Raw genomic sequence first — 24,832 nt, 5'->3', positions numbered from 1 at the left:
AAAAAATAACTTTGAAGAAAGCAGTGTTACCTTTGATCTATAAAAACAGGAGAAAAAATAATAAATTACAAATGTATTGCTCTAGTTCAGAACCATCATTCTATAAACTTTTTAATCCACAGATGTCTATATTTCTATTGCAATTTTAATTACAAAAGTCTAAACCTTTTTAATTGTATTAAAGTTATAATTAAAAGTTGATTATTTAATTATAATAAAATGGATAAACCTCTAGTTAGACTAATCAAGAAAAAAGAAAAGACACAAATTTTCAATATCAGAAATGAAAAAGGGAATATTACTGGAGATTCTACAAACGTTAAAATAATAAAGTAATATTATAAACAACTTACACTAATGAATTCAACAACTTAGCTTCAATAACAACAAAATCACTGAAAGATACAAACTACCAGAGCCACTAGAGAAGAGATGTATAACCTGAATAGCCTTATATCAGTTAAAGTAATTGAATTTGTAGTTAAAACCCTTTCCTCAAATAGAACTCCTTTCTACAAAACAATTAAGGGATAAGTAATACTAATTCCACACTAACTCATTTAAAAATAAAAAAGAGAATACTTCCTAATTCATTTTGAGAAGAAACCAATAGCTTGTTAGCAAAACTAGACCAAGATGTCAGTTCTCTCCAAATTGACTACAGATCCAGTGCAATAACAATCAGAATCTTAGCACATTGAACAAAAAAAAACTATAGACCAATATCTCTCATGAAAATAGACACAAAATCCTTAATAAAATATTAACAAAATGGATACAACAATATATAAATAGAATAATATGCTATGACCAAGTGATGTTTATCCCAGATATGGTTTAACTTTTTTAATCAATAAATGTAATTCATCATAATTAGTGAGTAAAGAAGAAAAACCATAAAATCATCTTGATAGATGCAGAAAATGCATTTAACAAAATTCAATATCCACTGATAAAAAAAAACTCTCAGCAAATTAGGAAAAGAAGGGAATTTTGTCAACCTGATAGAGTGTATTTAAAAAAAAACTGATTGACATTATTCTTAATAGTAGAAAGCTGTATACTTTCCTCTTGAGACTGGAAATAAGAATGTCCACTGTCACCATTTATATTCAGCACTGTACTAAAGGAACTAGCCTAGGCAATAAGAGAACTAAAAGAAATAAAAGACATACAGATTGAAAAGGAAGAACTACACCAGCTTTATTTGCAGATGGCATGATTATCTATGTAGGAAGAAATCTACAAAAAAAACTCATAACTAATAAGATGTGTATTACAAGATCAATACACAAATATCAATTACACTCTAGCAGGAAACAACTGGAAATCCATCAATTGATGAATGAACAAATAATGTATTATATCCATATAATAGAATATTTTCAACAATAAAAAGGAAAGGGGCTGGGCATGGTGGCTCACGCCTGTAATCTCAACATTTTGGGAGACCAAGGTGAGTCAATAGCTTGAGTCTGGGAGTTCAAGACCAGCCTGTGCAATATGGTGAAACCCTGTCTCTACAAAAAATACAAAAATTAGTGGGGTGTGATACCTGTAGTCCCAGCTTCTTGGGATGCTGACGTAGGAGGATGGCTTGAGCCCAGGAGGCAGAGGCTATAGTGAGCCAAGATTGTGCCACTGCACTCCAGCTTAGGCAACAGAGTAAGACTCTGTCTCAAAAAAAAAAAAGAAAGAAAGAAAGAAAGAAAGAAAGAAAGAAAGAAAGAAAGAAAGAAAGAAAGAAAGAAAGAACGGCTAATGCAGTACAACAATGTGGATGAAACTCAAAGGATTATACTAAGTGAATAAAGCCAGTCAAAAAAGACTACATACTGTATGACTTCATTTCTATGAAATCCTAGAAAAAAACAAAGCTTTAGTAATAGAAAGCAGATCAGTGGTTGTCAGGAACTAGGAAGTAAATAAAAGAGATTGACTGCAAAGAGGCACTAGAGAACTTTTGGGGATGCTGAAATAGTCTACATCATGACTGTAGTGATTGAAACTTAAGTATATAAGTTCATAAAAATTCATCAAACTACACTTAAAATGCTTACTTTTACTTTTTGTAATTACACATTAATAAAGCAGATAAAATTATATTTAATGTCAGTCATTTTTATTAATATTTTCCTTATATTGGTATTTATCTTTCATTTCTAAAATAGAAAGCTATTTTTTTATTTTCTGTCACCATCCCATTCTTCTGAAAATATCATTCCAAAACTTTCTTCTAGAAACTGTCCTTTACCTTCAACAGGGACTCACATTCTATCTTGTGGTTTCTATAAGAACTACTATGCCAGCATTAATTGACCCAGGAGTTGGCAGCTGACCCAACTGGGTCAATGAGTTACTTTCCAAGAGATTCACCTTGACTCTTTATAGTACCTGAAGCTTTAATATGTTAAGTTTGGAAGCCATCAGTAGCCCTACCAGAGAGAACAGTGAAAGGAATCCAGTTTGCTGAGAGAAAAATACTGATGCAGGTAAACTGAGTGGTACAGAGAAAAGTGATGAAAAGTTCTAACATTTTAAAACATATTTTCTCAAAAATTTGTTGTATAATAGTCCTTCTCTGATCACTCATTCCTCTGACTGTATCTTAGAATCTCCTCCCGACAAGAAGTATCTATTTACTTTATACCGATTGGGGTTTTTGCAACATGCAACCAAGAGAGTACTAACTCATACATCATTCAAGTTAGTATGTTTGTATTATGATCCTGCTTAAATACCATGCACATGAAATAAAACCTTCATTAACTGCCAATGAAGGTTTTATTTCACTGGCTATTCCACGTGCATATGAGTATAGACATATAAAAATAAAATGGTAGGCTTTTGATAAGTATTTTTAAATACCAATTTCTACCAACTAATCTTTGAAATGTGTCACAGTTGACATGAACAGAATAGGATATATTATGTATTAAAATATCTTTACAAAATGGATTTGCTGCTCCTGGTCCACTTCTGCTCATGGTTTTGTCTCAATACTCAAATCAAAAGCAAGTTTTAACAAGGACAAATTAAAGTGTACTTTCCTGTCAGGAATCAAGACAAAGAAAATTATGAAAAGCACAGATTCAGGACTGGTATGAAATATAGACATAGATATAGATATTTATTTAATGTCTGTTAGCTTTACATCATCTTTAACAAATATTGAAATATTTAACTTTTTAAAAAACAAAGAGAATCTGAAGTTAGGTTGCCTGGATGTAATTTCTAGTTATCCCACTTCCTACCTGAGTGTCCTTGAGCAATTGCATAATCTCTTTGTTCCTCAGATTCCTCATCTACAAAGTGGGAATAATAATAGTACCTGGTATGTCAAAGACATATTTGTACTCCCATGTTCACTGCAGCATTATTCATAATAGCCAAGACATTGGAATTACATTAGTCTGCTTTCATATTGCTATAAAGAGCTACCTGAGACTGAGTAATTTATGAGGGAAAGGAGTTTAATTGACTCACAGTTCAGCATACTTGGAGAGACCTCAGGAAACTTACAATCATGGCAGAAGGCAAAGAGGAAGCAAGGCACCTTCTTCACAAGGCAGCAGGAAGGATGAGTGCTGAGCAAAGGGGAGAAGAGCCCTTTATGAAACCAACAGATCTCATGAGAACCCTCTATCACAAGAATAGCATGGGGGAAACCACCCCTATGATTCAATTACCTCCAGCTGGTTTCTCTCTTGACACATGGGGATTATAGGGATTATAATTCAAGAGACTTGGGTGGAGACACAAAGCCTAACCATATCAGGAATCAAACCTAAGCGTCCATCAATGAATGAATGGATAAAGAAAATGTCATATATATGCATACACAATGGAATACTATTCAGCCTTAAAAAAGAAGGAAATCCTGCCTGTAATCCCAGCACTTTGGGAGGCTAAGGCAGGCGGATAATGAGGTCAAGAGATGGAGACCATCCTGGCCAATATGGTGAAACCCCATCTCTACGAAAAATACAAAAATTAGCCAGGCGTGGTGGCATGCACCTGTAGTGCCAGCTACTCGGGAGGCTGAGGAAGGAAAATCGCTTGAACCCTGGAGGCAGAGGTTGCAGTGAGCCGAGATCACGCCACTGCACTCCTCCCTGGAGACAGAGAAAGACTCCATCTCAAAAAAAAGAAAAAAGAAGGAAATCCTGTCATTTGTAATAACATGGATGAACCAGAGGACATTAAGTTAAGTGAAATGAGCCAAGCACAGAAAGACAAGTACCATATGATGTCAATTATATGTGGAATCTAAAAAGTAAAACTCACAGAAGCATAGAGTAGAAAGATGGTTACCAGAGGCTAGGGAGTGGGAACATGTTGATCAAAGGATAGAAAGTTTCAATTAAACAAGAGAAGTTAGTTCAAGAGATCTATTTTACAACATGGTGACTATATTTAATAACAATGTATTGTACTCTTGAAAATTGCTAAAAGGGTAGATTTAAAGTGTTCTCACCACAAAGAAAAGTACGTGAGGTAATGTATATGTTAATTACCTCAATTTAGCCATTCCACAACGTATAAATATTTTAAAACAACATATTATACAAAATAAATATACAAAATGTTTATTAGTCAAAACTATATATTTATATTTGAAAAACTATATATGATACTGCTTGGAAAAAACTTGAGAACATTGCCTGGCATGCCATAGTGTTATATAAGAACACTTTTTTTGTAGCAAGATCCTATGTAACTGAGTAATCAATTCATTTATTGCTATAATTTTTTTGTTTTGTAACGAAGTTTTTAATGATTTAAACGCTTCTTAGAGTCATGCCCTTAAACATAGCTTATGTGATTAGTTCCGTTGTTTTTTTGTTTTTTTTTTTTTTGAACAGGCAAAAGCTGGAAGCATTCCCAGAACTGGAACAAGACAAGGATGCCTACTCTCACCATTCCTATTCAACATAGTACAGGAAGTCCTAGCAAGAGCAATCTGTCAAGAGAAAGAAATAAAAGGCATAGAACTAGGAGAGGAAGTCAAATCATCTCTATTCACGGAGGATATGATCCTGTACCTAGAAAACCCTAAAGACTCTGCCAAAAGTCTCCTAGAACTGATAAAATGGCTTCAGTAAAGTTTCAGGACATAAGATCAATATGCAAATCGCTAGCATTTCTGTACACCAATAATATTCAAGCTGAGGGCCAAATCAAGAATACAACCCCATTTACAATAGCCATAAAAAAAAATATCTAGGAATACATCTAACCAAGAAGGTGACATATCTTTATGAGGAGAACTAAAAAACGGTGCTGAAAGAAATCATAGATGACATAAATGGGAAAACATTCCATGCTGATGGATTGGAAGAATTAATATCATTATAATGTCCATACTACCCAAAGCAATCTAGAGATTAAACATTACTCCTATCAAGCTACCAACATTATTTCCCACAGAATTAGAAAAACCATTCTAAAATTAATATTGAACCAAAAAGAGGCTTGAATCTGAAGCAAATAAAAAAACAACAAAGCCAGGCCAGGCGTGATGGCTCTCTCCTGTAATCCCAACACTGTGTGAGGCCAAAGTGGTTGGATCACTTGAGGCCAGGAGTTCTAGACAAGCATGGCCAACATGGGAAAACCCTGTCTCTACTAAAAAATACAAAAACTTAGCTGGGCATGGTGGTGCACACCTGTAGTCCCAACTACTGGGAGGCTGAGGCACAAGAATTGATTCAACCAGGGAGGCAAATGTTGCACTGAGCCAAGATGGCACCACTGTACTCCAGCCTGGGTAATAGAGTGAGACTCTGTATCCAAAAAAAAAAAAAAAAAAAAAAAGAACAAATCCAGAGTAATCACATTACCCAACTTCAAACTATACTACAAAGCTACAGTAACCAAAACGGCATGATACTAGTATAAAAACAGACACGTAGAACAATGGAACAGCAGGGAAAACCCAGGAATAAAGCTGCACACCTACAACCAACTAATCTTTGACGAAGTCAACAAAATAAGCAGCAGGGAAAGGACTCCCTATTCAAAATGGTGCTAGGATAACTGGCTAACCATATATAGAGATTGAAGCTAGACCTCTACCTATAATCATATATAAAAATTAACTCAAGATGGATTAAAGACTTAAATGTAAAACTTCAAATTATAAAAATCCTAAAAGAAATTGTAGAAAATACCCTTCTGGACACTGGCATTGGTAAAAATTTATGACTAAGTCCTCAAAAGTAATTGCAAGAAAACAAAAATTGAAAGATGGGACCTAATTAAAGAGCTGCTACACAGCAAAAGAAACTATCAACAGAGTAAAGAGAGCCTACAGAATAGGAGAAAATATTCTCAAACTATGCATCCAACAAAGGTCTCATATCTAGAATCTCTAAGGAACTTAAATCAACAAGCAAAAAACAACCCTATTAAAAAGAGGGCAAAGAACATGAACAGATACTTCTCAAAAGAAGACATATGAGAAGCCAACAAACATATGCAAAAGTGTTCAACCTCACTAATCAGAGAGACGCAAATCAAAACCACAATGAGATACCATTTCACACCAGTCAAAATGGCTGCTATTAAAAAGTCAAAAAATAACAAATGTTGGTGAGGTTGCAAAGAAATGAGAATAGTTATATGCTGTTGGTAGGAATGTAAATTAGTCCAGCCACTGTGGAAAGCAGTTTGGAGGTTTCTCAAATAGCTAAAAATAGAACTACCATTTGATGAAGCAATCCCATTACAGGGTATATGGTTTAGCTCTGTGTCCCTACCTAAATCTCACCTTGAATTGTAATCCCTATAATCCCCACATGTCAAGAGCCAGACCAGGTGCAGGTAATTAGATCATGGGGACGGTTTCCCCTGTACTGTTCTTGTGATAGTGAGTGAGTCTCACGAGATGTGATGGTTTTATAAGTGTCTGGCATTTCCCCTGCTTGCACTCATTCTCTCTCCTGCCACCCTGTGAAGAGGTGCCTTCTGCCATGATTGTAAGTTTCCTGAGGCCTCCCCAGCCATACGGAACTGTGAGTCGATTAACTCTTTTCTTTATAAATTACCCAGTCTTGGGTATTTCTTCATAGCAGCATGAGAATGGACTAACACACTAGGTATCTACCCAAAGGAAAATAAATCGTTCTACCAAAAAGATACATGCACTTATATGTTCATCGCAGCATTATTCACAATAACAAAGACAAGGAATCAGCCTAGTGCCTATCAATGGTAGACTGGACAAAGAAAATGTGGCACATGCACACTATGGAATAGTGCCATGGGGCAGGCTGGTCTAGACAGCAGGGGGATGTTTTCAGGATTAAAGGTTCCCCCAACCTAGTCCTGAACACATCAGGTGCTGGAGCACCTGTGTTCCCATGAGGGCAGCGTGGGCCATGCATGACTTCAGAAGACCCTCAAGGCTTGACTAAGTACACCAGTTTCATTCTGAACATGCTGCTCTAAAACACATCCCTGTTGAACCACAGCAGGATCAGATATGTGAGCTTCTGGCCTACTGATGCTCAAGAGCCAGGGCATGCAGGGAAGACTCCAGAACTCCTAACTCTTGCTAACCTTACATCTGGGATTCTTACGCCCTCAGCTAAAGAACTCAATGAATTTCAACTTTGAAGAGGTTCTTCTAACACTTGGCCATTTCAACCAGGTTTTGCTAAAGTCCTCTGAAATTGGGGAACTGAAAGCCAATTACTTGGATCACAAGTTGCCTGTGAAATCTGCAAGGACCTGCTGTCGGGGCTCATTAAACCCCAAAGTATGGCACCTTGGCATGCGGACTATTCTGACCCAGAGGAGACTGGAAGGCCTCAGAAGCCAGGTCTTTGTCCTTCCCTCCTGGTTCCTGCCCCCTTTTCTCCCCGAAAGTGAGTCACAGAAACCAGAATTCTTTTTCCCCAAGGCAGGTCATAGAAACCAGAACTCCTCTCTCCCAAAGCCAGCCATAAAACCTAGCAAGGTCACTCTCTCCCTTCTCCCTGGAAGACCCTCATTCCCGAGGGGTCCCGCCCCATACCCAGGGGAAGGGGAATTGTACAGAGTGGCCTTGCTGGGTTTCCCCCACTCCATCCATCACTGTTAGGCCAGATCCTTTGTGTCCAATCACATTTCTGCATGGCTGTTCATTCATCGAACCTAAATATAAAAATACAGGTTTTCCCTGGGTTTAAAAAAAAAAGAAAGAAAAGAAAAGAAAACATGGTATGTACATACTATGGAATACTACACAATAATAAAAAAGAATGAAATCAATCATGTCCTTTGTGGTAGTGGATGCAGCTGGAGGCCATTATCCTAAGCAAATTAATGCAGAAACAGAAAACCAAATACCGCATGTTCTCACTTACAAGAGGGAGCTAAGTATTGGGTACACATGGACATAAAGATGGAAACAATAGATACTGGAGACTACTAGAGCAAGGAGGGAAGTGGGGTAAGGGATGAGAAACTACCTACTGGATACTATGCTCACTATCTGGATAACGGGTTCAGTGGTTCCCCAAGTCTCAGCGCCATGCAATATACCCTTATAACAATCTTGTACATGTATTCCCTAAATCAAAAACAAAAGTTGGAAGTTTTTTTAAAATGAATACAGTTTTTACTGTATTGTTAGCTGAACACTTTAATAATTTTCATGTGTCTGTTTTAAATGTATCTAGTGTTTGGTGTTTTGGGAATTTTTTCTTTTTTTTAGAGAGTACAAGTGCAGGTTTCACATTCATTGTGTCGTGGTGAAGTCTGGGCTTTTAGCATACCCATCTTCTGAATAGCGAACGTTGTACCCAACAGGTAATTTTTTTGAGCCTGACCCTCCTCTTACCCTCCCACCTTCTGTAATCGCCAGTGTCTATTATTTCACTCTGTAGGACCACATGTACCCATTGTTTAGCTCCCACTTATAAGTGGAAACATGAAGTATTTGACTTTCTGTTTCTGAGATATTTCAGTTAGGATAATGGCCTCCAGTTCCATTAACTAAAATATTTGTATATATGTTCATATGTTTGACCTTGCTAACTCCTTGGGGGAAATTTTGACTGTTTTATAATATATTAGAAGTTTTTTAACATCTGAATTTTTTTTTACAGTATGAGTACCAATAAGCCTTTATTTATTCATTGTATTTTCCCAGGGAAAGGAGAAGGAAATGGAAGCGTCAGCATGTGTTAAAAAAATGACTAGAAAATGGGAAAGGAAATACCCAGTACAGCAAAATCAACCATCAAATAAACACACCCCAGTGATGGGGTCACCAAAGCCCAAAGGGGCTCAGTCTCCTGCAGTTCAGGAATGAGGGAAAGGGATCAGGAAAAGAACAGACAGCTACAGGCTTTCCTACCCTCCCTCCCCATAAATTCAAGATTTTACACAAAGCTTTGGTTTCTAGCAGTAAATATAGAGTTATATTCATTTGTCTCCTATTAAACAATCTTGTGGCCACTTTGACATAAGTTTCTGTATAAAAGTTCCTGAGTGACTTGTATATACATTCATATTCTCTTTCTTGGCCTGCTGACCTCAATTTCTACATGGAAGGCCCCCAGTTGCATCTCTCTACTTTAGGAGTAAAAATTAAGTAGGTTTGAGCCATCCAAAATACAGCAGTGTCTTTTTTTTTTTTTTTTTTTGAGACGGAGTCCCGCTCTGTTGCCAAGCTGGAGTGCGGTGGCGCGAACTCAGCCCACTGCAACCTCCATGCGCCTACCCTCCACCGCCTGGCCCAAGCGATTCCCCTGCCCCAGCCTCCCTCCCGAGCAGCTGAGACCACAGGCATGCGCCACCACACCTGGCTAATCTTCTGTATTTTAGCAGAGATGGGGTTTCACCATGCTGGCCAGGATGGTCCCGAACTCCCGAACACATGATCCGCCCACCTCAGCCTGTGAAAGTGCTGGGACCACAGGTGTGAGCCACCATGCCCGGGCTACAGCAGTGTCTTAAGTGTTTGGCATGAATACATCAAGAAATGGTCAGCCCGGCACGGTGGCTCACACCTGCAATCCCAGCACCCTGGGAGGCTGAGGCGGGCAGATCACTTGAGGTCAGGAGCTTAAGACCAGCCTGGACAACAGGACGAAACCCCATCTCCACTAAAAATACAAAAATTAGCTGGGTGTGGCGGGCGCGTGTAATCCCAGCCACTCAGGAGGCTGAGGCAGGAGAACCACCTGAACCCAAGAGGCGGAGGCTGCAGTGAGCCAAGAGCATGCCACTGCACTCCAGCCTGGGCAACAGAGCAAGATGAAGGGAAGGGAAGGGGAAGGGGAAAGGGAAGGGAAAGGATGGGTAATGGTCTTGACTCAGGAAGTTGGGAACAAGGGATGGAGGGTTTTCTTAGCTTCTTCAGGATTTTTGCATACATCGTTTAAGAGTTGTGGAGACTTTCCAAGCATTAAATGTGTATGTGTGTGGGTGTGTAAGTTTTCTTTTGGGGGATGAACAGAAAAGAGGGCAGGATAGAAGACAAGTTTTTAGGACAGAAGATCTGGTCTAATAGGTAATAGGGGAAGGGGAATACAAAACAAAGGACAGTTCAAGATCCCCACTTTAAGAAGAGGGCCCCCCAAACTAATGTTTCAGATCTTTTTGCCTGGTATAGAACCTTCTGTCAAAGATGCTTTAGCTATTTTTCTTTCAATACAAAAAGAAGTTTGTAAACAAAACCCCCAAAGAACACGGAGAAAGACTAATACATTATATTTATACAAACTAGGCCACCTAGCAATCACCAATTTAGTGAAATCCTATAAAGCCCAGACAAATACAATAACTGGGGGGGGGGGGGCAGCATTTAGGGGAGACAAGAACCCAGGATCAGACACACACCACCCAATGCGTTCTATTGCATTTGTCCTGTTTCAACACAGTGAGGTAGGTTTGCGGTGATCTCACAGCATATAAACGAAATCCCCTTTTTCTCCTTTAGCTACCGTGACAATATTAATCACTACTGCAGCAGGGCGGGACGCAGGTCCCAGGCACCACAAAGCCCTTGCTTATGTGTCTACCTGGAACCCATGAATTTTGAAAGGTTAAGGATACCTTACTTCATATATCCATCCCTCGACAGCACAGGATTAAGTATAAGGGTACTGGTCTTAAAACTTATCCTTACCAACTCCAGTTTTATGAGCACACATACCCTGTCGTGCATGGAAGGCCTAGCCTAATCTGGTGAAGAATGGAACTGGGGTGTAAAGCATGTCCTGTGCCCTAGGATTAGTCACCCCTCACCTAATCGTGGCTTCCTCTCTGGGCCTTTCACCTGGCCCAGTCTCTCCTAGCCTCTCTGTACCACCATTTACTGTTTAGACTAATTCCCAATCTTCCAGTAGGAGGCAATCAAGTCATGGGGCAACCCAGTTAAAACCTAGTCTCCCATAAAACATTTTCAAGGCAGAGGGGGTTTCAAGAGGACACTATGGCAGAAAAGCCAGCTCTCATTGGTAGAAATGAGGTAGTTCAATAGGCTGTGCACTCCAAATAATAAATCTCCACAGTGGCAAAAACAACAAAAAGTATAGTTTTAGTCTCTGGTGTGTGATGTTCCCCTTCCCGTGTCCAGGTGTTCTCATTGTTCAATTCCCACCTATGAGTGAGAATATGTGGTGTTTGGTTTTCTGTCCTTGTGATAGTTTGCTGAGAATGATGGTTTCCAGCTTCATCCATGTCCCTACAAAGGACATGAACTCATCATTTTTTATGGCTGCATAGTATACCATGGAGTATATATGCCACATTTTCTTAATCCAGTCTATCATTGATGGGCATTTGGGTTGATTCCAAGTCTTTGCTATTGTAAATACTGCCACAATAAACATACGTGTACATGTGTCTTTATAGTAGCATGATTTATAATCCTTTGGATATATACCCAGTAATGGGATGGCTGGGTCAAATGGTATTTCTAGTTCTAGATCCTTGAGGAATTGCCACACTATCTTCCACAATGGTTGAACTAGTCTACAGTCCCACCAACAGTGTAAAAGTGTTCCTATTTCTCCACATCCTCTCCAGCACCTGTTGTTTCCTGACTTTTTAATGGCCATTCTAACTGGTGTGAGATGGTATCTCATTGTGGTTTTGATTTGCATTTCTCTGATGGCCAGTGATGATGAGCATTTTTTCATGTGTCTGTTGGCTTCATAAATGTCTTCTTTTGAGACGTGTCTGTTCATATCCTTCGCCCACTTGTTGATGAGGTTGTTTGATTTTTTCTTGTAAATGTGTTTAAGTTCTTTGTAGATTCTGGATATTAGCCATTTGTCAGATGGGTAGACTGCAAAAATTTTCTCCCATTCTGTAGGTTGCCTGTTCACTCTGATGGTAGTTTCTTTTGCTGTGCAGAAGCTCTTTAGTTTAATTAGATCCCATTTGTCAATTTTGGCTTTTGCTGCCATTGCTTTTGGTGTTTTAGACATGAAGTCCTTGCCCATGCCTATGTCCTGAATGGTATTGCCTAGGTTTTCTTCTAGGGTTTTTATGGTTGTAGGTCTAATATTTAAGTCTTTAATCCTGAATTAATTTTTGTATAAGGTATAAGGAAGGGATCCAGTTTCAGCTTTCTACATATGGCTAGCCAGTTTTCCCAGCACCATTTATTAAATAGGGAATCCTTTCCCCATTTCTTGTTTTTGTCAGGTTTGTCCAAGATCAGATGGTTGTAGATGTGTGGTATTATTTCTGAGGGCTCTGTTCTGTTCCATTGGTCTATATCTCTGTTTTGGTACCAGAACCATGCTGTTTTGGTTACTGTAGCCTTGTAGTATAGTTGGGTCAGGAGAGGGGCAAGGGATAGCATTAGGAGATATACCTAATGTAAATGACAAGTTAACAGGTGCAGCACACCAACATGGCACATGTATACATATGTAACAAACCTGCATGTTGTGCATATGTACCCTAGAACTTAAAGTATAATAATAAGTATTCCTGCTGTGCAGAACTCAAGCTGCTGCCGACTTATCCCTGAGATTGCTCATGCACCTGAGAATACAGTGCAGGAAATGATGGCCTCAGACTAAAATATACAAAAATACAAAACCAGAATATTTATATTAAGGAAAAAAAAGTTAAACTGCACAAGATACATCATTTGCACACAGCTAGTTCAGTTGGCATCCTGGAGAAAGTGGGACTCAAGGTGCAGTATCAAAGGGAGCAAATAAATAAAATCACATTGGCCTAGAATGGGGCAGGGGTAAGCATAGGAGCAGCAGGTCTGCAGCTGTTCCCCCAAACATCCTTTTTGCCATCATCAGTACCCATTGCTTGGGACAGTTGCCAGCACCCTATCCCAAAAGTGGGTATATGGATACAAGATGTGAAAAAAACACTGCCTTACTCCTGATAGATTTCCTTCCACAGGATGCAGTGGCTTGGCTCCATGAATCTGGTCTTATACTTAATCATTTCACTCTGGCATGGGAATTATTACATATCCTTCTTTAAAGGAAAACAACTTCCCTATCCAGGCCACTTTCAAAAGCTGGAAATTCTGGGGATGGAGCCTCAGATAAAGCATGCAGATTGTAGGGTGATTCCCACCTCCTGGTTGCCCCCAGAACCCTCACTTGTATTTGGACAGAGCACGGTTGGAGTTCCTTTGACTCACCCTTTCCCCCAACAGAGAGAAGAAAGGGTGATGGTGTGAACCCCAGCCTGAGAAACATGGCAGTGCCAACTAGCCCCAATGTACCCTATTCCCACTTTCTCCACTCTGCCTGCTCCTCAAAACTTCCTGATAGCAAAAGAATAGCCTCCACCCATTGTGGCTCAATTCTGTGCCTCCGGGAGCAGGGCAGGGCTGTGGATTTCTTCTTCCTCCCGAAAGTAGGTTGGCTTTCCCTGTGCACTAGGGCCCTGCTGGGCCTTCAGTGGACATGAAGCTACCATATGACTGATGCTCTGGCAGAAGTGGCACTTCTTGGCCTGGGGTGGCATCTTGCATTCCTTGGCATGATGGTCTAGACCTCCACAGTTGTAGCACCTGTCTTTTGATCTGCGCTTCTTGCATGTTCTTCCCCTTTGGCTACCTCTCACTCCCAATACGGAACGCCCCACCAGGTCCGGTGACACGGATGGATTCCAGACCCTTGGCTGACTTCTTAAAGGTGAACTCCACTGCCTCACCCTCCTTCAAGCTCCGGAAGCCTTCCATGGGCAGCTTACTCTGGTGCACAAAGACGTCCACTGGTGGGTCGAGCGCGACCACGGCGCGGGCAGTCACGGACAGTAAGCCGAATCCCATGCGCAAGTTGAACCACTTACAGATGCCCTCACCGTGCAGCAGCTGAGCCTCGTCCGCCGCCCGGGCCGCATCCTCCGGCGCCTCCTCGGGTGCCTCTTCTGCCGCCTTGGCGCAGCCACTTGCAAACTGCTGGGTGGACACGGAGCCTATGGTCGTCGGCTGAGCCCGTGGCCCCGGGCCCCTGGTCAGGCAGCTGCTGGCCCCGGAGAACTCCGAAGACCAACATCTGAATTTACTAGAATCCTGATTGTTAAGTATATACTGTCAGGAACAAATTTTTTATTACAGAGTTCATAGAACAATGCTGAATTTACCAAACTTAGTATTTTGCTGCAACTAGAAGCTCCAAGGGTTAAGAGGAGGCACGGTTGATCTAGCTAATCTCAGATTTAAAAGGTAAGAATGTCCTATTTAGGAGACCCTTCCTTATACACCTATCACTCATTAATTTTCCCAAATAATTTTTGATTAAATAGACATTTTCTTACTTTTATACACAATTCCCATAAAGTATACACAAAAGTCAAAAAATAAATTTTCTTGTCACAAATGGTTAGGTATAGTATTAATCATATCTCATGTTACACAAAATCTGTGAATTTTGCTTGTTCCCTTTACAACTGAACCTACAGACAACTGATTAAGTCCTGTGGGCATCAAGTTGTGGTTAGTTTCTATTCTTCATTTCTAATCTTTTTACACCTTTGAGTCAATTGTGTTATATTTATAAGACATGAGCTTTCATCACTTCTATCAGTACCTTTAATTTTCCTCACTTTCATTCTCCTTCTTGTACTTGTCCATTCTTGTCCAGAAGGTTCAAAGCGGTTGTTTATAGCCATGGCTTCTTTGGGGCCACCAGCTTTAAAGATCACACAAGCTTGGATCTGTCAGGGCCCACCATCCCAACAGATAGAGAATGACTAAAAGTGAAGATAATGTGGGGAAGGTCAATGGAGAGAGTCAAACAATTATGAGAAAAAGACTTCATCCTAGTGTGATCATTTGAACCCCGGAATTCAGACAATTCTATGACCTACTCCTGGAATATTTGGATATATAGTACATAAAAAAATCCCTTTTTTGCTTAACTCTTAACCTTTTATTTTAAAATACAACAGATACAGAGAGTCACACAAAATACCACTCTTGAAATCACCAGCGAAGTCAAGAAATAAAAATTTGCCAATTGTCTCAGAAGCCCCTTGTATTAGTCTGTTTTCACTCTAATAAAAACACACCCGAGACTGGCCAATTTGTAAAGAAAAATAGGTTTAATGGACTCACTGTTCCACATGGCTGGAGAGGCCTCACAATCATGGTGGAAGGAGAAAAGTTTGTCTTACATGGTAGCAGACGAGAGACAATGAGAGCCAAGTGAAAGCAGAAAACTCTTATAAAACCATCAGATCTCAAGAGACTTATTCACTACCAGGAGAACAGTATGGGGGAAACTACCCCCATGATTCAATTATCACCCACTGGGTCCTTCCCACATGTGGGAATTATGGGAGCTACAATTCAAGATGAGATTTGGGTGGGGACACAGCAAAACTGCATCACCCCTCTATGTGCCCTTCCTCTATCTCAAAAAAGTAATCACTATCTTGACTTTTATAGCAATAATTTCCTCATTTCTTTATAGTTTTGCCACCCAAATGTGCATCCCAAGCCACTATAGTTTATTGTTGTCCATTAAATTTTATTATCATTTAAATCCCTTTCATCTATGTGTTCTCCCCACCCTCTTTCTTTACATTTGATCTGTATTCGACCTGTCTGCTTTCCCAGTGAAGTTTGCCAATTACATATTCATGACACAGTTCAGCATGTTCCTCTGTACTCTGTCTTCTGTCTTCTGTTTCCAATTTCCAGCAAATTGGCAGCTAGAGTGAAAGGCTTGATCAGACTCAGGTTCAATGCCTTTAGCAAGACCACAGGTGGTATGGATCTTTAGTGAAATATAATGTCTAGTGGCCTCTTTCAATTGTGATACAAGCAGCTATTGTGGTTCAGTCTCATGTTGTAAGCAGACAATTTCTCCAAAGAAACCCTGGTTTCAAGACGACATATTTGACATTAGGAATACACATTACTACTGAGCTGGTCATTGTTTCTAGAATTCATCTCAGTCTTTCTCTCCATATTCATGAGTTCATGCTGACACTTCGAATTCAAATTCAAAGCTACAGAGTTTTTATTGTTGTTGTTTTAACTCAATCTTTTCTCAAACTTCTCTTTTCTAGTCTCAGTTATCTCTATTTTGCTTGACTTGCTCTGACTCTATTCCAAGCTGTTTCATCTTAGAGTGGGGCACTGTCCTGGAAAAGAATCCTTGCAAGTCTGTTTCAGTGGTGAATCTAGAAGCTAAACGATTCCAGATCCTTCAGCACACACTGTCATTCCCTTGCACTCACCCAATACCAGATTGAACAAAACCCTCTCAGTATTCATTGCTGTTCTCAAATTGGTCTGCTCACTTTATGGTGAACTTCTGTGACTATTTGGTTCTCCTCTTCTCCACTGATTCCTCTGCTCTGTCTCACTGTACAGGTCTTGGGTCAAGTGGTTTGTCTTCATATACTGTCTTTGGTTTGTGGGGATAGCCTGTCTCCCGGTTTTGTGGTAAATATTGTCAATAGGTTTTTAGTGTTGCTATCTAGCTGTCTACTTTTATGTAGGCATTTGGAGACACAACAACGCCTTCACTGCTGCCATATTCCCGGGATCACCCAAACTATTTTAAGTAGATTTTTGCCATTGTAAGTCAAGAGCGTATTGACTAACACAGCCCCCAGTTCTTTTTTTGTTTGTTTGTTTGTTTTGTTTGTTTGTTTTGTTTTGAGACGGAGTCTCGCTCTGTCGCCCAGGCTGGAGTGCAGTGGCGCGATCTCGGCTCACTGCAGGCTCTGCCTCCCGGGTTCACGCCATTCTCCTGCCTCAGCCTCCGGAGTAGCTGGGACTACAGGCGCCCGCCACCACGGCCGGCTAATTTTTTTTTTTGTATTCTTAGTAGAGACAGGGTTTCACCATGTTAGCCAGGATGGTCTCGATCTCCTGACCTCGTGATCCGCCCTCCTCGGCCTCCCAAAGTGCTGGGATTACAGGGGTGAGCCACCGCGCCCGGCCTCACAGCCCCCAGTCATTTATCTCATTAAAAGCTACCTTACATACACTAACATCAAACCATTAAATTAAAAGAAAATAGCATAATGATAATTTTAAATGCTTATAGTAAATATAGACTCTAAATGAATGGCTAAAAGTGAACAATATACTTTGAAATAAACCTTTTTGTTAGCTATTTTTTTATGGTCTTTAGTCCTTTAGTGGGTGCGCCTAACATTTTAAAGAAAAATGTCCAGCAGGAGATTTGCAAGTTTTCTTTAGCATAGGGCCCATGCCCTAGTTCTGTTAATCAATAGATTTGAGAACACAAACTCAAATCATGTTAAATTATTTCCCTAACACAACTGTTTACAGCAGTTATCTCATCTATTGATTAAAGAAATAAACTGAAAACTTACTCTACTGTGATCCGTAGCGTCAATGCTGCAGGTGAAACAACTTTATAAGGAAGTATTCAGGAAGAGAACCTCCTCAGACATGGTTCAAAATCGCTGGCTTTATATTAAGTTATGGTAAGTTTTTAGTACAAAATATGAACTAATTTTGAAAATTATCAGTGTTATTAATGAGGAAATGAGTAACCCACTGGTTCTATTTTATTAAATAGTAATTTAAAGTAACTTGAAATAAATCCAATGATCCTAAAGTCAAGTGCTACTGCCTAGGCTTATCTTTTTTCATTGGGCCAAAAATGGCCACCACTGCTGTTTACAAACAAAAACAGCTTATATTGTGAAAGCTTATAAGCCTCTATCATCTTAAAATCAATAACATTTAAATAATATTGTTGGGTGAAATTGAGAGAAAAGCCCTGCAGTTAACTCACCATCTCTGCTTTAATTTGTGAAGGAAGTTTCATGCTTGTAGGAATTCAATTGCAACAATCATGAGATTATTACTCTCCATTAATATATTTTTCAGAGCTTCTCATAGGCTTTAGTTAAAAGGAGCTACACAGATGTAGGAAATGACAAGATACTGCTTGGTCTCCATCACAACAGAATACTCCAAAGACCTCTCAAACGACACATGTCCCATTACATTATCCCTCGCACCCTTCCACGTTTATTTGTGGTGTTGAGACACTATATAGCTTCTTGTTGACTTTGCCCTTTTTGCTCAGGGCAAACCTCACCTTTTTTAAGATCTCTGCAGCAACTGCTGCAATAAACTGCTGCCTGCTGGGCCATCAAATCGAGATGCCTTGTGAAAAAGAAATGTTTTTTTCTTTTTCAGCTCTTCATTCACATTCCATTATGTGCCATACACAAGACAATTTTTATTTTTAGGCTCGCCCATTATATTAAAAGTAAAGGGCTAATGGTGGAGAGAAAGAACTGAAACAATAGGAACTTTGTAATAGTGGCTTTTTCTAATTGTTGGTTATAAGAAAATGAAATATAAAAATCGTAACTCTTTTTAAGAAAAGTGCAGAAGGAAACGGGGCTTAATAGCAACAAAATGATGTTTTAAACACTTGACTTATTTTCTGCCATTTTAATGTACTGAATTATGTCAAAGACCTTGTAGAAAACTTTAAAAAATCATTTTCTGATGTTACTAAATGAAAACTAATTTCTGCCTATGCATTTGGAACTGTGCCTCGCACAGAGTAAGCAGTCAGTAAATATTAGCTATTATTATTTATATTATTATGACAAACTTAGTTGTATTTTTTTGTTTTTGTGCCTCTAATCTCAGAAGCAGCAGCAGTCCAATCAATTTTGTATTCCGTGTCATCTCACCAACTCAGGCCCTTGCATTCTCCCCCTCTTTTCTCTGCTGGCTATCTCCTCTCTGCTGTAATCCTAATTAGTTCTAATTTCAAGCCCTACTCTTTATCTCCATTCTATCTACCACCCAACTTCTCATCTTCTTTTCAAGACCAAGCTGGCTCTAATTTCTCACCACCTATACACTCCATAGACCACCAAAATAAACAGTTGGTCATAGAAAGAGGAGCTAGCAGTGCCTGAGATGCAATTGTGAAGTTGGATCACTTTCCAGCCAGATGGCAACTAGGACACCCTCTCTAGTGTGAAATGAGTATTGAAGGCCTCTGGCACGCTGCAGCACAGCAATTACCAAGAATTTCACCTGTGGTGACTTGGAATGGATGACAGGTTGAAGGGATGCAATGGCTTCTGTGATATCTTTGGCATTGTGAAGTATGATAGAAATAGTAATTATAAGGGCTGGGGGATCTGTTTGGTTGTTGCTAAGTGTTACTGATGCACCGAAGAGAGAAAATAACAAGCTCCATTCAGCCAATTAGCCACGTAAGGCAAAATGTGAAAGTTAGAAGGCTCCCAGGGCAGTGTTTACAGACACCTTCCTCTCTTATGACCAAAAAACAGACCATGCTAGAGACAAGACCTTCATCCTAATTGTTAGAGAAGTAAGAGTTGAGATAATCCTGAATTCAGAGCCCCAACAAGTCTCCTACATTATCAGGGAAGGAGTGGGACCCCAAGGCTAGGGGTAGAGATATCCAGGTGGATACACTCAAGAACATTGAACTCTCAGACTCTCCAGAACACTCTGGGCTTGCAGAGGCAGCCCCCTCCCTCTTGTTAGACGACGGTAGACCTTACTGCATTGCGTAGACTACGCAGAGACCTCAACTTAGGCAGATGCTACATAAGACAATATCAGCTCTCCTCAAGAACCGTCCATTTTTTTCCTTCTGACCAAGATGAATAGCTAGAGTCACAGATCACTATGGCTCTGGCTAAAGGAATAAAAGGGATTATTCACTGAAAGTGCTGAAGGACGTGGTTAATATGTAGCAGGAGAATCCAGAAAAGCCATTTGTAAGTGCAGCTTCTGGAGGACCCAACATGAGGCAAATATAGACATTTTGCGGATCCCCCAAATCAAATGTGGGCATAATAACTAAGCATATGAGAAGAATCATTGAACTTGGAAATGGAATGATTCAAATCTAACCTTGACTTCCAGTGTCGGTTTTGTTACGTTTTTTTCTTTTGAGACAGACTCTCTGTCACCCAGGCTGGAGTGCAGTGACACGATCTCAGCTCACTGCAACCTCCGCCTCCCGGGTTCAAGCTATTCACGTACCTCAGCCACCGGAGTAGCTGGGATTACAGGCATGTGCCATCACACCTGGCTAATTTTTTGTACTTTTAGTACAGACAAGGTTTTGCCATGTTGGCGAGGTTAGTCTCGAACTCCTGGCCTCATGTGATCTGCCCACCTTGACCTCCCAAAGTTCTGGGATTACAGGCATGAGCCACCACGCCTGGCCCCTACTGCCTTTTTTGTTTTGTTAACAAGAAACAATTTGGCAAGTAGTACATACTTAATAAATGTTTGTTGAAAGAAATAAAGAATAAACATACATCATTTTAAATCATAAAATATTCCCCAAATCAGTCATTAAGGCAATACCTGTTTTTTATAAATTCATATTTTCATGTTCAATTATATGCAGACTAAATATCCTAATTAATGAAAACTAAGAAGGACAGATGCGTCAGGCTCTTCTGACTGCAAGTTTGGTAGGCAGAAAATCACTCGGGCTACCTCAAGAAAGATGGATTTGTTCTCAGGAAACACATGGAAGCAGAGGAAATCGGAATCGCACGGAAACCCTGCTCAGCGTTCAACTGAGCCTCACAGAGGGGGAAATGCAGCGGTAAAATGAAATGCTCTGATACATTTCCAGGCCTGAATTATCTTGCTGCCCCCTCAGCAGCAAGAGGCGGGAGAACATATGCCATGATGACTCAGTCCTCTTTGCCCCTGCTTCTGCTACTCTCCCAACTGACCAACTTCCTCTACATGTATAGCATCTGCTTATTCGTAACTTTGTCTCCTACCTCAGGTCCGTCTCGCCGTGTCTCTTTTTACTTCTGCTCCCACAGCCAAATGTCAGCTTTCCATATATATATCTCTCTCACATCCAAATCCTCAATAAAGTAGAATGTTGTTGGTCAGAAAAACTCTCTCTTTGAGCAGCCTTTTGTACTCGGCACCTTAATGCTGATTGGATAGTTCTGTGACAGATGACCCTTGTCTGATTAGACACGGGAAAGAAGACAGCTGCTTGATTGGTGGTTGATAACTGATGAGTGCATGGATGCCCCTGGATGCAAAAGGGCCTAAGAAAAGCAGCACCTGGCTGGGAAGCTGACCCCCAGCAATAACCCCAGGCCAGGAAATGAGAAAATGAGTTTTCAGTGTATAGTTGATCGTCTCTGCCCGTTTGTTTTAGCTTGTTTGTGTTGCTGTCTGTTCATTAATTTGTTCATTTGTTTTTAAGTGTAGAAGATGAGAGCAGGGGAGCTCCCAGAACAGAGTTTAAGTAAATTAAAGGAAGTTTCTATCTGGAACTAATAAGGATTATGGAGATGAAGATGAATTGTCAGGGCAAAGCAAAATAATTAGGAAAAGACTAGACTAAAACTGGCAGGAGTTTTTGCATCAAACTCTGGTTTTGTCTTCAACTAGTTATATGTTTTGGGGGCATTCTGGGGGGTAGGTACCTATCACAATAATTGCTAAAGTAGTTTAGCAAACAACCCAGGTGCTCACTCACCTCCCGTCCCCCCTCACTCCCACTGCCACTGTAACATGGTTGCCATACCAGAATTCTTCCAGAAGATAGGGAGGCTGTTATTGGAAAAGTGCTTCAGAAGTGATTTAGATAAACCCACTACCACTCCACCACCCTGGTTTACAGTCATTGGACTAGCTGACATCTCAGATAATGCTTTGATTCTTTTATAACTTACGAGTTTCAGAAGTAATAAAAAATTAAAAACTCTTTGGAAGATAATCATGAGACTGTACAGGCCGGGGATGGTGACTCATGCCTGGAATCCTAGCACTCTGGGAGGCCGAGGCAGGTGGATCACCTGAGGTCAGGGGTTCGAGACCAGCCTGGCCAACATGGCAAAACCTGTCTCTACTAAAAATACAAAAATTAGCCAGGCATGGTGGTGGGTGCCTATAATCCCAGCTACTTGGGAGACTGAGGCAAGAGAATCACTTGAACCCAGGGGACAGAGGTGGCAGTGAGCTGAGATTGCACCACTACACTCCAGCCTGGGCAAAAGAGCAAAACTCTTTTTTTTAAAATCTGTAATATAAATTATAAACATAATTTTATAATAGTAAGAAGTTTAGAAACCATCTGAATGTCTATCATAACAGTATAGCTGGATCTCTATGATACATTAAATGAGGGAAAAAATGAACACTATAATACTGATGCAAATATTTATTAAATAAGCAAAACAACAATTTAGAGTTCCAACATTTTCTATATATACATATCTAAATATATTAACAAAGCCTGGAAGGATCTTTGGGGAGTGGAAAGGAGGAAACAAAGATGGGGAAGTGGCCCAAAGGAACTCTATTCTCTCTAGATCAGAGCTTTATGTTTTTAAAAAGGAGAATGTACTCATGCAGTGTATGTATAATTTAGTTAATTTGTAAAGGAAACAGATCAAAATAAGTTATTTGGAGGCTCCTGCCTGACTGGCACACCTGAGCTTCTTAGAGGATATGTCACACCCACAGCCCCTGCTGAAAATTTTCATTCACTATTCCACCCATATTTAGTGAGCACCTGCCATGTACTAGGCTTTGTTCAATCTAGGCAGTGGTGGTGCTGCTGCGAGCAACTGCTCGGTGTTCTTCCCCATATACTTGCTTCTTCTGCTAACTCATCATTCTGCCTCTCCTACTCCATAACTTTGAGTTGCGTGTGGCTTTGGTTTGCTATAGAACCAGCTCCCCACTCTAACACTTTGAAGACAGTGTCATATAGTGGCTAGGCACAGGCTCTGGAGTCAGACTGACTGGGTTCCAGTACCAGCTCTACTACATCTTTTGTCAACTTGTATAAGCTATTTTACTTTTTAGTCATGCCTCCATTCTTTATTTGTAAAATGGAATCACACTGATCCATATCATACAGTTGTGACGATTAATGCATTAAAACATGAAAAAAGCCTAGGACAAGAGCTGACACACAGTAAGCTCTTGACAAATATTAAATGTTATTACCAGTATTTTAAGAGCCAGTCACAAATAACCAATGTCTCAGGTCAATTTTTTAAGAGAAAATCCAATCAGCTCAGTTCATTTGAGGGCTTTACTTCTCCTTCTCATGTTGTTCACATATGGCCACAAGATTATCCCTGACCATAACCTCAAGACCTTATATGATCCAGCTTTGGCTGGTGTGATGGTTAATACTGAGTGCCAACTTGTTTGGACTGAAGGATGCGAAGTATTGATCCTGGGTGTGTCTGTGAGGGTGTTGCCAAAGGAGATTCACATTTGAGTCAGTGGGCAGGGAAAGGCAGACCCACCCTCAGTCTGGGTGGACACCATCTAATCAGCTGCCAGCACAGCCAGAATATAAAGCAGAAAAACGTGAAAAGGCTAGACTGGCTTAGCCTCCCAGCCTACATCTTTCTCCCATAGTGGATGCTTCCTGCCCTTGAACCTTGGACTCCAAGTTCTTCAGCTTTGGGATTCAGACTGGCTTCCTTGCTCCTCAGCCTGCATAAGGCCTATATTGTGGGACCTTGTGATCATGTGAATTAATACTACTTAATAAACTCATAAATATATATAATATCATATATATATATATATATATATCCATCCTATTAGTTCTGTACCTCTAGAGAATCCTGACTAATACAGCTGGCCCCGCCTGACCTCCTCAAGTTCACCTGGGACCATTTGTTAAAAGTAACTTACAAAATAAAAAGAGAAAGAAAATAGAATTCTGACATTCATTATAAAACCTGACTATTGTTCTTGTATTTTCTATTCATGAATTTCTCTCTTTTTTAAATAATCACTTTTTTCTTGAACCATTTGAGTGGGTTCCTGTTCCTTGCAACCAAAGAGCCTAGAATAGAACAATTCCTTCAAGTAAATGGGTCACACACAAAATATCCTCATACTCATTGCTTATGCGCAAGTGTTGTACAAGTGACTTATTATATAGGAATGATGTTCGAGAGAAGTAAAAGCAGAAAGCCAAGTCTTTTTTGTGGTTCAAGAAGAGAAAAGATGCTCTGGGTGGTAACAGCAGAGTGTCATTCAGATGCAAAATCTAACCAACCCTTTGTGTGAGAATCTGTTTTATTACCTTAAGTTCTATTCTGTATTCATTAAATTGAACCCTGAAGGGACTTCGATTTTGCAATATGTCATTAGTTACAATGCTAACCTGAAAGTCAAAACTATATTTTGTTTTAGAGTATTCTATAATTCTAATTTCTCAGAAATTTAAACTGCATTTCTTTGCAGTCTGATAAAGTGAAATTTTTATCTGTTTACTAGGATGATAGGAATGATGTGGGCATCCCCTACCTGTTCAAACCCGCACATAACCTGCTCCATGGCAACTTTGCCCATACTGAAGAAATAAAAACACTTCTCCCTGGAGTCAGC

The 24,832-nt window shown here is 40.0% G+C and overlaps 1 pseudogene; it reads right to left on the bottom strand.

Moving 5' to 3' along the window:
• Positions 1–13,585: 13,585 nt before the first annotated feature.
• Positions 13,586–14,480, bottom strand: LIN28AP1 (LIN28A pseudogene 1; annotated as a pseudogene).

Source organism: Homo sapiens, chromosome 2, assembly GCF_000001405.40.
Source record: "Homo sapiens chromosome 2, GRCh38.p14 Primary Assembly".
In the NCBI taxonomy this organism is placed as follows: domain Eukaryota; kingdom Metazoa; phylum Chordata; class Mammalia; order Primates; family Hominidae; genus Homo; species Homo sapiens.
This window is presented reverse-complemented; position numbering and strand designations above follow the sequence as displayed.